At 40.6% G+C, this 16,332-nt stretch overlaps 1 protein-coding gene across 3 annotated transcripts in view, besides 1 other annotated feature; it reads left to right on the top strand.

Moving 5' to 3' along the window:
* The window catches only part of CPA6 (carboxypeptidase A6), a 324,323-nt gene that overhangs the window by 220,607 nt on the left and 87,384 nt on the right, over positions 1–16,332 (top strand). For 2 of the 3 annotated variants that reach the window (NM_020361.5, NM_001440615.1), the window contains exons 3-5: positions 7,707–7,831; positions 14,099–14,213; positions 16,136–16,237. In NM_020361.5, coding sequence (NP_065094.3) covers positions 7,707–7,831; positions 14,099–14,213; positions 16,136–16,237 — 342 coding nt within the window. The remainder of the gene's footprint in view (positions 1–7,706; positions 7,832–14,098; positions 14,214–16,135; positions 16,238–16,332) is intronic. The other variant, XM_017013646.2, reaches the window with a different exon arrangement.
* Positions 12,842–13,444: an enhancer, noted in NCBI's record as "OCT4-NANOG hESC enhancer chr8:68424545-68425147 (GRCh37/hg19 assembly coordinates)". NCBI's record gives its function as "activates a minimal SCP1, AML or CMV promoter by ChIP-STARR-seq in primed H9 embryonic stem cells {active_cell/tissue: H9 hESC(primed)}" and the evidence as "EXISTENCE:reporter gene assay evidence [ECO:0000049][PMID:30033119]".

Raw genomic sequence — 16,332 nt, 5'->3', positions numbered from 1 at the left:
GATAATGACCTGTCTTGACAGTCTTTGATTGATGGGCCTCAACAATCATTTCAGGTTGGTGATGTATCAATTGGTAGTTCAGGGAAATATTAAGAATCTTTTTCTTTTCCAACACATGCGCTTTGTTTTGATAAATGAGAGATGCTATCCCATTATGGCAATCAGCATTCAGCCTTGAAGAGAATTAAGGGGAAAACTTGGACACCAAAATAGAGTTTTACCAGAACTTCTTCCTTTACTAATGCTGTAGTAATAATGCTTGACTTATAACTAGTACTCAGGCTGGTGGCATTAATTTCTATTATATTGAAATTTATATTCTTAAGCAATGCTTTCATTTGGACTGGTCTAATTTTATTTCACTGTTGGGCCCCCACCAATTTTTATTATTATTTCAACGCCTAATTAGTTGTTAGTTGATATATTTTCATTTTTCTTTAATGACAAAACAACTAGAGCTTTAGTTTGCCTAAATTTCCAGGGTCTTTTGTTGGAATTATTGGGACTATGCTTTAGGAAAGTGATAAATTGCAAATTACTTCTGTGGTTGGAAAGAAAGGATGGGCCTATGTAAAATTAGTCCCAGAATTTCAACAACCTAACCTGAACCTTTGGTTCACAGAAGACCATAATCTTTGGCCAAGTTTCCCTGTCAGCAGCCCACCAATATTTGAAATGTTGGCAAGTCATAAGTAGAGCAAGGAAAAATAATACAGTGAAAAGTAAGCATTTCTTTAACTGTGTGACTACGGTGGCTGTTACAGTCATCAGAAAACAATATAGTACTGTAACCTATGAAGCAGTATAGTCTAGGATTATACCTAAATGTAATAAAACTTCAAAATTAAGGACATGTAAGTTGAGAAATGGGATGAGTGGACAAAATTCAAGTGGACTACCTTGTCAATTCCATGGTAAGGGGAAATAGGATTCAGAATCTAGAAATGCTCTAGAGAAATCTTGGAGAGAGGATATATTTAAAGAAAATATATCAGTCCCTACTGTCACAGAGAATGGGGGAAACAAATATTAACATTACAATTGTAGTAGGTTGAATGGTGTCCTCAAAAAAGGTATGTCCGAGTCCTAACCACATTCAAGACCTGTGAATGTGACCTGATTTGCAAAAAAACAAAAAAAGTTTTTTCAAATGTACTTAAGAATCTGGAGATGAGGTCATCCTGGACAAGTGACAGAAGAGGAGAAGACACAGAAGAGAAGACCATGGGAAGATGGAGGCATAAACTGGAGTGATGTGGCCACATGCCAAGGAATGCCTAGAGCCACCAGAAGCTAGAAACAGCTAGTAAGAAATCTCCCTTAGAGCCTCTGGGAAAGCACAGCCTAGCCAACACCTTGATTTTGGACTTCTGGACTCTAAATCTGTGAGAGAATAGATTTCTATTGTTTTAAACCATCCCAGCTTTTGCAATTTGTTATGACGGCCCTAGGAAACTCATAACAATTACTGATGCAAATGAGACATAATTAAAAGTTATGGACTGTGAAAAAAAATTCTATGAAAGCAGACAACAAACATACCTTGACCTAAACTTGGAGGGTAGAGAAGCTCTCCAAGAATCCATAGCAAAAGATCCTAAACGAAGATCCAAGAAAGCTAAATGGGTGCAGCCCAAAAAGAATTTTAAGAGTAAATAAGGTACTTTGCAGGATATTAAGATTTTGTGTAAACTAATATTGAATTGATATGATTGTCTAAATTAAACACTAGTCGAAGACAAACTTGATATCAAGTTTTCTTACTCAGAATCCTATGACATGGCACATAAGTGCCCTGCCTAACCCTTTTCCAAACCAACAAAAACTGAGAATAAATATAGAGCAGGAAAGTGCTTCTGTGCTATTTTGGGCAGCTAGGAAGCCAGCCATCTGTTACCAAGTTGACAGAGCACCTTACACATCTTCCCACATCTGTGTATAGGACTCACACTGAAGCTTCTGGAGGACACTGAGAGCCCCATCCCATGGTACCTGAACCAGGTGTGTAATTAGCCCTGGGCTAAAAGATAGGCAAGTGCTTCTCAGAAGTAGGCCAGGCCAATAAGTAAGCACAGCACAAGAACCAAGAGCCATGACATTGGTGCTCAGCGGAATTATGACTTCTTTTCATTGCAAAGAATTTTTTTTGAATTTTGAATTATTTATCATTTAATGAATGCTCCAAGTCACCAGGACTTTTGTTATTGTTTTTGTTTTTGTTTTTTGAGATGGAATCTCACTCTTTCCCCCAGGCTGGAGTGCAGCGGCACCATCTCAGCTCACTGCAAGCTCTGCCTCCCAGGTTCACACTATTCTCCTGCCTCAGCCTCCCAAGTAGCTGGGACTACAGGTGACCACCACCACGCCTGGCTAATTTTTTTATATTTTTAGTAGAGACAGACTTTCACTGTTTTAGCCAGGATGGTCTCAATCTCCTGACCTCATGATCCGCCCACCTCTACCTCCCAAAGTGCTGGGATTATGGGTGTGAGCCACCACGGCCAGCCCACCAGCATTATTTTAGGTACTTTGTGTGTATGTATTCATTTAAGCCTAACAAATATATTTAAAATATGCTATTTATAGTCCCATTTAATAAATGAGGAAACTGAAGTGCAGAGAGCTAAGTAGATTGCCTGCAGTAAAACAGCCTACAAGTGGCAGAGCTGGGATTCAAACCCAGGCTGCCTGGCTATAGAATTCACACCCTAATCACTGCATTTTCTATAATCACTGTAATCTCCATGATAATGGTAACAAAAATAACTACTACTATTATAGGATTCCTTCGGTACCACTTTGTCAGCCAGAAATCTCTGCAGCCACTGTGACCTCTGCCCAAGGTCTCACTCAGGCCGCCAGGCCCACTCCACCCACTCAGCCCAGTAGGTTGTGCTCAGCTTGTGCCCCAGCCTGGATCCCACGCCTGCCCACTGCATCCACCACAGCCTGTGGCTGGACCAGGCATGCTGCAACTGGCTTCCACCTTGGGCGCCAGCATCTGGATGAGAGGAATGCAATGGCACCCAAAAACTGGGAGATGCCAGCAACAGTGAAGCCCCAGGGATGTTAGAGCTCTCGCCCAGGGAGTCCCAAGGTCTGAGCCCCCAAGAAGTGTTACAGCTTTCTCTTTTTCTTGCCATTGGTAGCTTGGTGAATGGGAGTGTGTCACAGCTCACTCATTCCCACCGCCTCGCAGCTCAGAGAATGGCAGCATGTCATAGCTTGTTCAGTCCTGCGCCTGCAACTCGGTGAACGGGGGCATTTAACACCCAGCAGTTTTTTCTCACTCCTGTAGCTCAGTGAGCAGGAGCATGTGTTACAGTTCTTTGGTGGGTTCCAGCTTCTTGTCCCATGACTAAGAGGAATGAGGTACACTGACACTGGAGAGTGAGCAAGGCAGAGAAAAATTTTATTGAGCCACAGGAAACTCTAAACACCAGAGGGGACCTGAAGTGGGTAGCCCACTGTGTGAGAGGGGGCCTGAAAGTGGGTAGCCATCTGTGACGCTGAGTCCAGTGTTTTTATGGGCTCAGAATGGGGGACCAATTATGCTGATTGGTCCATGGGCGGGCCTGAAAAAAGCACCATTTAATTTAATTAGCTAAAAGGCATCAAGGAAGTTCTCACTCAGCTCTTGGACTCCACCCAGAACTGACAGCTTGGTTTTCAGGCTTCAGGCTGTGTTTGGCATGAAGATCGGGTTTCACCGGGTACCTGTCCCTGTCTGCCTAGGAATTTGTCTGTCTCCTGCCGCTATCACTACTAACATTATTAAATATTGACCAATAAGGAAGATATAATTATCATCTTCAATTTACCAAAGAAGAAAGCAAGGCCCAGAAAGTTAAGGAAACTTCCCAAAATCACACAGAGACTAAATGGGAACCTAGATCAGATCGTAGGGAGTCAGACTCCAGGGCCCATGGAATTCATCACCACTATAGTGGCTTCTAATTCAGCCATTTGACTTTGTGCTAGGAAACTTTCCTGCAACTGTTTATATTTTTCGTTTATTTATTGCTTCCTGCCCCCATACCCTTAAAGCCATCTCTAGGTTTTAATCTCTCTGAATGGGGACACAATCTCACCATGTTCTTCATCTTAACCATACGAAGTTGAACTCTGTCCTTATTTTCATATGCTTTTCAAATAGCCTCAGCTTTTCAAAAGAACCTCAGCCCTTCTTTTCATATGCTTTTCAAATAGCAATAATAAGAAACAGTGATTATCCTTTGAGCTCCTACTATGTGACCCTCTGCTATTTTGCTTCTATGATTCCAATTAATCCTCCAAGAAAGCCTGCTGGGTATGTTTTTAAGATTATCTTCACAGTACACATGAGGATACTGAGGCTCAGAAATGTTAAAATGTTAACCTCCCCAAAGTCAAATAGCCAATGCTGCCAGAGCTAGGATTCCAGCCCATGGCTGTCAGATTGAGCAAGACACTGAAATACCTTGGCCTCTTAAATATGTCTGTATATATGTGACTAGTAATCATGTGAGGAAAAGAACACACGGGAATAGTCACCAGGTTCCTAGGCCAGAAGGCTCTACAAAGAGGTATCCTTTCCTGTGGAGTATCAGATGGCTGCTTGCAGCAAATACCTGGAATGGTTGGCAAACAGCCTTGGACCATCCTGATAAGGTTCTTGATACTTTTGTTATGTTGTAGCCCAGAATCACAGAGCTTTGCAGTTCAGAACTACTAATTATCTCATCCAGATGTGATCAGGCCCTAAGGAAACTATTGATAGGAACTTACACACAGGGGGCTGATTAGAACCTTGAAATACCTGCATATGAATTTATGGGACAAATAACCCCACAGGAAAGACCAGAATGTGAGACCTACTGACCAGACCTCCCCAAATACTAGGTCAGGAAGTTGGAAGATGCTTATTTTTCTGGCATATTCTCGGAAGATCCTGAAGACATGAACTGGGTCAGTAAATTACGGACACTGCTGTTAAGCATGTCTTGTATCGGCCATTTTGTACCTGTGCAACCTTGGGAAAGTGACTTAGCCTCTATGAACCTGAATCTTCTCCTTCATTAAATGTATCTACAATTAATTCCTCCTCAAAGTGTTATTGAAAAGATTAAAGATATCTATAAAGTAGATGAAACATTATAAATCTCAGATGGTAATTACTGTCCCGTAAGTCTTCTATAGGCACCTGCCTGCCACCACCCTGACTGAAATATCCATGCTGCTTATTCAAATACCCTTTCCTTAAAATATTACTGGAGAAAAACTAATAATTCATTTTCATTTACTTTCCTAATATCACAACAAAATAGAATTCCTGATTTTGCAAATTCTTTTTTATCAGTTGTCCTTTAGGCCAACAGCTTTCCGAGCACATTTCTGAGCACACTTTGTGAGAAAGTTTCCCAGGAAGCTTTCTCCAAGCCTTGCTGTAGGGTCCATTTCATGGAACTTTCCTGTGGAGAAGCTGCTCTCTTCTGTGGGATGAAGATTCTTACTTCAGCATGTACCCCAGAAAATAGCACTTATAGACTCATCTCCAGAGTGGTAATTCATATTATTTTAGCTACCTGTGCCTCTCTATCTGAATACAGCACAATTTCCTCATATCCACTGGCATTAAGGGGTGGCAGCAAACTGTTATCCTTAATATAAAAAAATCTGCCTCTGTAATGGGTTTAGAGGCAAGTCCCAAAGATTTGATCTTCTAAAGGATTCGAAAATCTAATATATAAAGAAAAGTGAAAGATACCAACATGCTTTTTCTTATAAAGGCAAGAAACCAGCTATTCCTCACTGAAGAATAGAACGCCAAAAAAATAAAAATAAATAAAAAAATAGAAAAAGAAACTATGCTGCAATAGAAGGGATTAAGAAAAATGCCTGACAATCTTGTTAAATGTGAATGAGTTCATTTAGGATATTGTTGACTCTCCTCTATTTGGAGACCTAAAAGATGTGGTTTAGACACACCTATTGGGGAGAGTTTGGTGCAGTCCTAGATATGTCCTTGCCCAAGGGCTGACAGATGGATTGAATGACCTCTCAGCATCCCTTCCAGCCTCACACTTCCGTTGTGCGCTGATTGTTGGACTGGCATGTTAGCTGAGTCAGATTTGCCCTTGCAAGCGAGTGGAGGAGTCAGCTGCATGAAAGAAAACAGGTAGACTCTTTGTCCCCAAAATAAAAGCCTCTCTACCCTGTTCCAGGCTAAATTGTATCATTAGAAGTTTATTTTCCTGAGTCACAAAGTATTTTTGGTCTTCTAGAGTTCCTAACAGAATGCAGGCACTGATACTTAAGTGAAGATAAAGTTACTAAACCTTATCAGATAAGGGCTTAGCAGAGATCAAGGCCCTGCAGCATCCTCCAAGACTGGAGATGCAGGAAGAGGGAGGCCCAGAGCAGTCAGAGGTAGACAGAGGCAGGACTGTGAAGACAAACTGTGCCTAATTAGAAATGATGCTCCAAACTCCTGCAGAGATAGGGCTCTCGTCCCTTCCATCTGCGTTCCATTGTGCCTTTGATGAAGGCCAAGCTCCTACCAGGTGCAGAGCACTGGCTAAGGCACTGGGGACACTATAGTAAGGAAACAGATGTGGCTTCTGCTTTCCTGCAAAATACTGAACATGTAGTGAATTACTACAAAGGGGGAGGTCTACACTCTTGCAACAAACACTGAGTGGCTAATTTACACAAGGCACTGTTCCAGGATGGGTGGTAACCAAATGGGCAAACGCTTTGCCCTCCCGGAGCTTACATTCTGGCAAGAGGAAGCTACATCAAGAAAGAAGCACCAGGTGCTCTAAAAACTATGACAAGGAGACCTACCCTAGCAGCCAAGTCTTCCTTGAAAAGGGATGTTTATATTGACAAGTGAAGGCTGAGTAGGAATTGGAGAAAGGCATGTGTTGGAGGAAGAGCAGGCACCTAGAGAATGGTCCATCTAGGTGGGGCACCGTGGCTCACGTATGTAATCCCAGCACTTCAGGAGGCCAAGAAGGGTGGATCACTTGAGGTCAGGAGTTCAAGACCAGCCTGGCCAATATGGTGAAACCCTGTCTCTACTAAAAAAAAATACAAAAATTAGCTGGACCAGGTGGCATGCACCTGTAATCCCAGCTACTCAGGAAGCTGAGGCAGGAGAATTGCTTAAACCCAGGAGGCAGAGATTGCAGGGAACTGAGATCACGCCACTGCCCTCCAACCTGTGTGACAGAGAAAGACTCTGTCTCAAAAAAAAAAAAAAAGAAAAGAAAAGAAAAAGAAAAAAAAGACCAAGAATGAGAGAATGTTCCATTTGAAATTACCAAATACTCCCCAGCTACCACAGTGTTCTTATGTGGTAGGATGAAGGGTGATTTATATCTTTTTTTCTTACAATTATTCAAGTATTTGCATAGCAAATAATTTTAAAACCATATCAAAATTATACCTAAAACTATTTTATCTCATTTTTACCTTGTAGCTTTAATATATTGGTCTTCAAACTATTATTTGCAAATTATGATCAAATTCTATATGGATATGATATAATTTGGAAACTCAAATTCAAGATCAAATAGTTTTACCCTGATGATGCAAGCATTAAGTCTAATTCCAAAATATGTTTGGTGTTACTATATGCAAACAAAAGAATGTGTTTGACATTGTGACACAGATTTTCCCCCCCTACGTTGGATATGAATTATAGGTTGGTTCCTGCACTACAGGTGGACCTGTGGCAGCCCAGCAGTATCTCCTATGTATCAGAGGGAACAGTTACTGATGTCCATATCCCCCAAAATGGTTCCCGAGCCCTGTTAGCCTTCTTACAGGAAGCCAACATCCAGTACAAGTAAGCATTCCTTTTCACTTGCTATAAAATTTATTGGTACTAAACTGAACCAAATGGTAGTTGTATTTAGGTTATTTATCAAGTACTTACAACAGTGTTTTGGGTACAATTTTTCATATGGGGAAAACTGACATGAATATATTCACCTTGAAGAGCTTATTAGTCCAATGGGGGATGGGAGCAACGATGTGGACCTTTCATTTCACTATTCACTGTTACCACTAAGTGATCAGTGAAAAGATAGACCTTTTTCTGTGAAGAAAGGAGAGCAGCCTAGCAAGGCCTAGAGGGTGGATGAGAAGGCAGGAGTGGAAAAGGCTTTCTGCAGGAGCTATGCCAGCCAGGCAGAGGCAGAGGAGACCACACAAGCAAAGGAAGAAGCAGCATGCAAGTGCAGAGTGGTTAGTGTATGAAGTGCAAGTCAGAGGGCAGAAAGAAATGATGCTGGAGAAACAGGGAGTTCAGATTGTGGGAAATCTTATGTGCAGGGGCAGGAGCTCAGACCTAGTCTTGTGGATGGTGCTGCCCCATTGCAAAGGAGGCACATGTTAGTGGGGCGGGGTGAAGGGGATAGGAAACACTAGTCCAGGGAAGAGGGAGTGAGGCTCTGAGTAGGACCAGAATAGTAGGATCACGAGAGCATTAAAAAAATATTTCAGAGCAGACTCTCCTCATGTTGGACAGTAAGTAGTAAAGGAAGAAGTGAAAGGATGACTCCAAGTTTTCTAGCTTGGGTAACTGAGTAGACAAACTAGAACAGATTTAGATATTTTGAGGGTTGGTTTTAAAAAAAAAAATGGTTAGAGCAGTAAGAAAAGAGCAGGTGGGGCCGGGTGCGGTGGCTCACGCCTGGAATCCCAGACTTTGGGAGGCTGAGGTGGTCAGATCACCTGAGGTCAGGAGTTCAAGACCAGGATGTTCCACATGGTGAAACCCTGTCTCTACTAAAAATACAAAAATTAGCTGGGTGTAGTGGTACGTGCCTGTAATCCTAGCTACTCGGGGGGCTGAGGCAGAAGAATCACTTGAACCCCGGAGGCAGAGGTTACAGTGAGCTGAGATCGCGCCACTGCACTCCAGCCTGGGTAACAGAGTGCAGGCTGTCTGCACTGTCTCAAAAAAAAGAAAAGAGCAAGTGGAAGACAGTCAGAGGAGCTGAAAAAGAAAAGAAAGACTTTAAAGAAAGAGATGGGTCCAGGGTACCAAGTGCTGCAGTGATATCCAGCAATAAAAGGAACAATGAGTTTCCTTTGGATCTGGCAATAGAAAGAACATTGGTGACTCTAAAGGTGGATTAGAATGTTTGCATTAGAAGACACAGATGTGAACAGGAGGTGAGAACACACAGCAGCAGAGTCCATTCCTGTTCTTAGCAGTTAGAATTAGCGAAGCAGAGAATGAGAAGTGACTGGGAGGAGATGCATCACTGATCCCTAACTGGTAGATTTGGGATTTGTTTGTGTAGGGGGAAATCTTGGTGTATTTGTAGGCTGAGGGAAGAGCCTGTAGGGAGGGAGACATCGATGATGCCAGAGAGAATGTGCAGAAAGAAGAGTGTCTGAACAGTAGGAAGGATACCTCATTCTCTAAAACTGAAGAGATAAATGTGGTGGATCTACTTAAGACTGTAGAGAGGAAAGTGGACATGTCAAAAAAGATTACAGCCAATGGCTAAATTTTCTGGATGAATGAAGAAGCAAAGTTATCTACTGAAAGTAAGGAAGGAGGGGTTAAAGGGTATTACCAAGAGAAAAACTGGGGTATGAACAAAGAGAGGTGGTTGTTGCAGAGAAGAGAGAGTGTGACACTGATACAGAGCTGAGTTTCTGTTGGATAGAACCATGGAAAGGTCAGGGTGGCGAGAAAGTTGAGGTCCTCAGTGAAATAATAGTTCAAGTATTCATCCCTGGGTCTAATATGGATTGGAAGGCAGGAGCATCTAGGACGGATGAGGGGGCCAAGTGGAAGAATCAGGGAAGATATTAAGGTCTTTGTATTGAAAACAATGTAGAGTTACTGAGGAAAACAAATGAGAAGGAAAGAAGTTCTGACAAAATGTGAGTAGTTGGATGCTCAGAGTCCGGGGGTAGAATGTTTATGGCTCGTGACAAGATCCACAGGGTAGCCACAGAGATTATTGAAGGGGAGTGTTGTGTGGATATCTTTGAGGCTGGTGCAGTCAAGAACAGGTAGCCTAAATCACCAGAGAATCATCCTGAATCTCCTTGGCTGATGGCAAGATTAGAGGAGGTGGGAGAAAATGTACTTCTGGGGCAGGAACATCAAGGCAGGCCAAGAGTTCGAGGAAAGCAGCAAGAAGTGGCATGACGCTGCAGAGAGGATGAGCTTTCCCTGGAAGCGAGAAGATTCACGGCGTATAAGAGAATACGCTGACCTTCCTCCCTTATGCCCCACGGTAGGCAGGTGGAGAGGGAGATGGGAATAGAAAGCCACAAAAGAATGTGTATCCTTTAAAGAGTCAAATGTCTGATGCGGCAAGAATATGAGAAAAGAGAGTTCCCTGAAGAGGCTAGAGAATGTAGGAAGTTCATTTACAAAGGAAGGGAGACTCCAGTGGGCACAAGGAAAAGCAGGTGGAGGCGAGAAGGGACATCAGTGGAAAATCTAGGAGAAGTGCAGTGTGGTGACTTAATGAGATGAGATAGAGAAGGAGGGAGTGACTTACCCTTTGCTGCGAATCCTAAGATTTGGGGGTTGAAAGGCATGCGTGTAAGTGACCACTCCAACTACCCAAACTTTTTAGCAGGTTGTTGTACTGTCAAAACTGGCACAGAGTTTTGGGGTTTGGGAGGGCCTAGGGCCTGGGGTGGGCTGATGGTCTGTGAGTTAATAGTGAGGGCCCAGTCTCTCTAGAGGGCTGAGCCAAGGGTTGCCAAATGGCAGTGACATCCCTGGTCCACACAGAGACTGCCCTGCCAGAAGGATATCTACAGCTTTATTAACGTACTGATATGCTTTTTACAGAAAGGTATTTTATCTATGCTTCTAGAACAGAATCGCAGCTGTGCATAAAACTATTGTTCCTACTGGACACATTTTAGTCATTGTTGTAGCTTTGAAGACCTGATCTGATTCTCTGAATGCCTGACAGGAAACAGCTTGGCAATTATATCTATAGGTGCTCAGTAACCACTCACATGCTTCATTAATTACTATTCAGTAGAAAAGAATATACCGGTTAGTTTAACAAGTCTCTATTTCCTGTCATTAAATATAGGTCATGTGGAACTGATATAGAATAAAATATCACACTTTATGTCACAGAGAATAAAGTCTAAAAAATGAGTGTTTTAAATCAGTTGCCTCTTCACTGGAGAACAGTCATTTAGAATTATTCATTTCATTGGTCCCAAGATAATAACATATGAGACAATTAAATTCCACGGGCCCAGTAGGTAGAGATCATTTTAATTGACTTTTAGTACTGTAGCCTGGAGTATTTTCAAAAGATTGTCATTTACTCTGTACAAGAATACATAATGTATAGCTATAGTGATTTTTAAAGTGGAGATAATGTGACCTCATGTGTCTGGCCCCTAGGTGATCAATTCCCCTCTATGAAATGATTCATTCTACCATAAAACATTTTGGTTATTCTATAAAGTAAATACCTGTAAACGTTGGTGATGAAATTTCTATTTTTTGATCAGGCGTGGTGGCTCACACCTGTAATCCCAGCACTTTGGGAGGCTAAGGCGGGTGGATTAGCTAAGGTCAGAAGTTTAAGATCAGCTTGGCCAACATGGTGAAACCCGGTCTCTACTAAAAATACAAAAATTAGCCAGGCATGTTGGTGCGTGGCTGTAATCCCAGCTACTCGGGAGGCTGAGACATGAGAATCGCTTGAACTTGGAAGATGGAGTTGCAGTGAGCCGAGTTCACGCCACTGCACTCCAGCCTGGGTGACAGAGCAAGACTCCTCAAAAAAAAAAAAAATTTTCTATGTTTTGAGGGTCCCTCCCCAACCTGGAAACTTTGGGGAGGTGGTTTTGTACTGAGTAATGGCATCACTCAGAAAGTTTAGAATAGTTCTAGTCACCATTACAGGAATATACACAACTGGGGTAGGAATCATCACAGGCTGTGAAGAAGTAAGAAACTACAACAGTTTACAAAGACCGTTCTGAGACTCCATTTCACAGCCTTGTCATCGATACGCCAGTTTCTAGTCAATCACTTAACAAGGAAGATGGGACTTGACCTCCAGTGTCACAATTATTTTTTAATTTAAGGTTGATCTCCTAGGGCCTGCGTTTGGGTGCAATGTAAGTTACTGAACAGAGACCTGGGTTAGTTTGCTGGGGCCGCCATAACAAAGTACCACAGACTTTAACAACTGGAAATTCAGAAGGAGATTCTGGTATAGATTTCCGCCTTTGGCAAATCTGTCTACATTTTTTTTTCCTTAGTTTCTGGGGATCGAAAAAAGTAGCCAGGAGAAATAATAGATGATTTTGGTGACGGTAATATAACTGAAGGTTCCCTGCAGTATTGGAATACGTTGACAATTTATAATTACCCCAGCCCTAGTCAAACTCGTATCCCTCTTGACCATCCCAGATTCTCTCCTAACACAAGGAAGTTAGAAAATTGACATGGAGGTTCATTTGGCTCAAGACTTACTTTAGCAATATTGTAAAATTCTTTAGCCCATACAAGCCTAATCATCTGTAACTTCCTACTTTGAGGGTAAAAAAGAAAGCACTAATACAGATGGTGTTCAGACTAACAACAACCTCCCACTCACATTTTGAGCCACTGCAAGCAGCCATCAGGGACTTAACCAAGCTTTGAGCCACCTCACCTTACCTCGATTTCTAAAATGTTTTCAGTTTTAAAATCAAAAATTGAAACAAAAAAAGCAGTAAGTCAATGATCAATTCCTGATTAAGTGTTTTGTCCATAGTAGGTGCTCAATAAATAACAAATGAGTAAATGAAAAAGAATGTCCTATACCCAGTATGACCCTAAGTTAATTTACTTTCTTCATAGAATGGAAAATATTTCTTTAGGTGATTCAATATAATTTTTTAAAATAATTTTTAAACATTAATATTAAAGGCTTTAAATAACTTTCAGCCTTGAAATTATTTAAAGATGCCATTATATGTTCTTTTAATAGCACTTAAACCATTAAACAACAGGTTCTTTTGGAAAATAAAATATGAAAGCAAAGCTTTTTAGCTACCTGCCAGGCCCAGGAAAATCACTGGGGGGCTTTCTAACATCTTTAAGTAATGCAAATGACTGAAGTGCTTTGCTACTGTGTGAAACTCTAGTTAGTGGAGGCTGGTGAGCATTGAGAAGACAGGCCTGTATTTATCTAACTCACATGTCACATCAAGAACACTAATGACTCTGCCTGGAGCTGGTTCCACAAAGCCTGGAATCCCCGCCCTGGCCTCAGCCTTTAATTTCCAAATGCATTCACTATAATTGGCTGAGCTTCTCTTCTCTTGGCATTCTTGATGCTGGCAGGCAGTGAAATCGCTTTTTCCAACTCTGGGTATTTCTTCAGTTTCCTCTTGAGGACTGTAGCTTCTTTTCCCCTTTCCCTTTTCTCTCTGTCTTGGGTCAGGGGTGCTGGGTAGTGACATGAGCATAGTCTCTTGGTGATGGAAGGGATGTGTGCAGGAAGAAGCAGCAGGAAAAAGAAAGTGGTAAGGGCATGGAAGAGAAGCCTAGGCTCAGTTTTCATGAAGTGACCCTGGACTTAGAATCTCAAGATTGGAATTTGGGTTCACCTTCCAAGTTCAAATTCTGGCTTGGCACTGACCAGTAGAGGGATATTGGTGAGTTCTTAACCCTTTTGAGACTCAGTTTCCCCATTTTATAAATACCAATAACAAGAGAATCTACCACATAGACTATAGGGCTATTAGCTAAGATTATGTACATAAAAGACACAGCACAGTGCCTGGCTGCTGGTAGGTAAGTAGTACTCAGTAAATCTAAGTGCTCGTAGTCATCATTCGGTTGTTGCAGCTGCAAATCAGCAGTAGCTATTGTTACTACTACTATCACTTGAGGATATCTGCCTATAATTTTACATGTTAAATTCATTATACCACTTATTTAACAGTTTTCATTTCCTGAAAAATAACATTTTCCCAACATTTGGTATTTTTAGGAATATTGATCACCACAGTCTTTCTTTACATAGATGCATATGATTTTTTCTGGGTGTTGCCTGATTTTTGCAATATCTCAATTTACTTTTCATCATGTCTGTCATTCCAAATTCAGGGTCCTCATAGAAGATCTTCAGAAAACACTGGAGAAGGGAAGCAGCTTGCACACCCAGAGAAACCGAAGATCCCTCTCTGGATATAATTATGAAGTTTATCACTCCTTAGAAGAAGTATGTAATCAAAAGAGCTTTTTCTGGTTTTTCACAGAGTCATCTTTATCATTTAGGTCTAAGGGAGAAAATTATGTGTTTTATGCTTCTAGGGGAGAAGCATAAAGACAGAGAAGGTACTATGTGAAGAATATATGTAGCTTTTACATGGCCCAGGCACCTTATCTCTTCTATTAAGTCTTTGATGGTATATAAGAAGTATCAAAATAATTTTAATTTCATTTGCTTTACCCATACCACTTTTACATAGGACATAGGAAGCACAATGGAAGAGTGAGGAAATGTTGCTATAATTATCGCTATAATGGCCTTCACTAACAAGCCAAGAAACATAAAGCTAACCAGAGTTTGAGGAAATGATGAATAAAGTGGACCTTACTTGTACCCTCTGCAAAGTTGAGACCTCTCAAAGGCAAAGCTTCATTTGGGGCATCTCTGCACCTTTGAGCATGCTTTTTTATCCTACCTGGAGAACTGACAGCCACCTCATCCACACTGTCACATCCTTTACTATTCACCTGGACAGGTTGTTGTTCTGCAAATCTCAGCTTAAGCAAAAAGGTAGCTGTTCCTATTCTCCCAGATTGGATTAAACCCCTCCTCCACCAACACCTAGTGAATTACATGCCCCCATAGCACAAGGATGTGATACCTATCACAGTTTTTAATTATGTAATTATGTGAGTATTTGATTAATGCCTTTCACCTCTAATAAGCTACAAGTTCCATGAGCGCAGGCCACTTCTTTCTTATTCACCGCTGTAACTCCAGTGGCAGGCAAACAGTGACCTCCAAATACATAGTTGTTGACAGAGGAATAAATGAATGAATCATACATTTTCCATGCTTCCTCTGAATTGAACAAAGGAATGCCAGACATAAAATAAATGAGATGCTGCTCTATTCTTAAGACGGTTTTTGGTTCTCTTGATAACAACTCTCCTTTCAAAATTATCTCCACATATTTCATGTCTAAACATGTTTTGGAAGCTTAAAATTAGAAGCAATAGAAAGGTTTTAGATAACTTTGCACACAGAAGTACTGTTAACATGCACTAGAAAACAGTCAAATTTTACAAATATAATATAGATATGCATAATGTATGTGTATACACACACACACACACACACACATATATCCTGCTCATTAGATTAAATAAGAATAGAAAGAAAAGAATATATGGGTACTTTCCTGAATATATTTAGCTATTTTTTCAGCACTGATCCTTTTATACCATAAAATGGTAGGACACTTTTGTGTTGTTTTTTTACACCTTATAAGGCTTTTAAGTCAGGAATGAAGTACCTTATTCATTCAAATGTATCTTTTCCTGATGACAGATAAGTGTATATGAATGGATCAATGCAAATGTATCACTATCACTGGAGAAATTATTCAGAGTTTGCCCTCTGATATGTAGCTCAGTAAAAGAACCTTTAAATGGAAAAAGATAATGCCTTTTTCTTAGCATTTTCTTTCAGTGGCAAATTGTAATATATGGGACTTTAAGAAACACTTTCAAGTAGTTTGGACAGTTTTCCTAAAGTTGATTTATTTCTTTACCTCTTAAATACTTGTGGAAAATAGAAATAAATTCTGATTTTCAAAAAAACTAGAACACATCAATTTTTTATAAAAATCTGTTACCCGTATATTAATGATATATGGTAGTAGAAGGTATGCTTTAATGGAAGAACTATATAAAGACATAAGCTACTATCTGTAAAGGCAGAAAATTAAATGTAATTTTAAGTATCCCAAAGAAAATTAAAAATAAGAAGTAGGTTTTTTGTTCAATTTTATATTCCATGTGCACTCCTTGAATTCGGAGAACTACTGTTGTCTTTTTGTTTCCTTTTGTTCTCTAAAAGCTCCATTATTTTGAGAGAGTCTAACATAGTTTTTATTTATTTGCTCTTAGATTCAAAATTGGATGCATCATCTGAATAAAACTCACTCAGGCCTCATTCACATGTTCTCTATTGGAAGATCATATGAGGGAAGATCTCTTTTTATTTTAAAGGTAAAAATAAGCAATTGCTGTGTAAATACATAATGTTTACCAAATATCCATCTTTTTCAACTTTAACCTATGGGAAAAGAAATGAAATGATCTTT

This window comes from Homo sapiens, chromosome 8 (assembly GCF_000001405.40).
Source record: "Homo sapiens chromosome 8, GRCh38.p14 Primary Assembly".
NCBI lineage: Eukaryota > Metazoa > Chordata > Mammalia > Primates > Hominidae > Homo > Homo sapiens.
The sequence above is the reverse complement of the archived record's forward strand: the minus strand, read 5'-3'. Positions and strand labels throughout refer to the sequence as shown.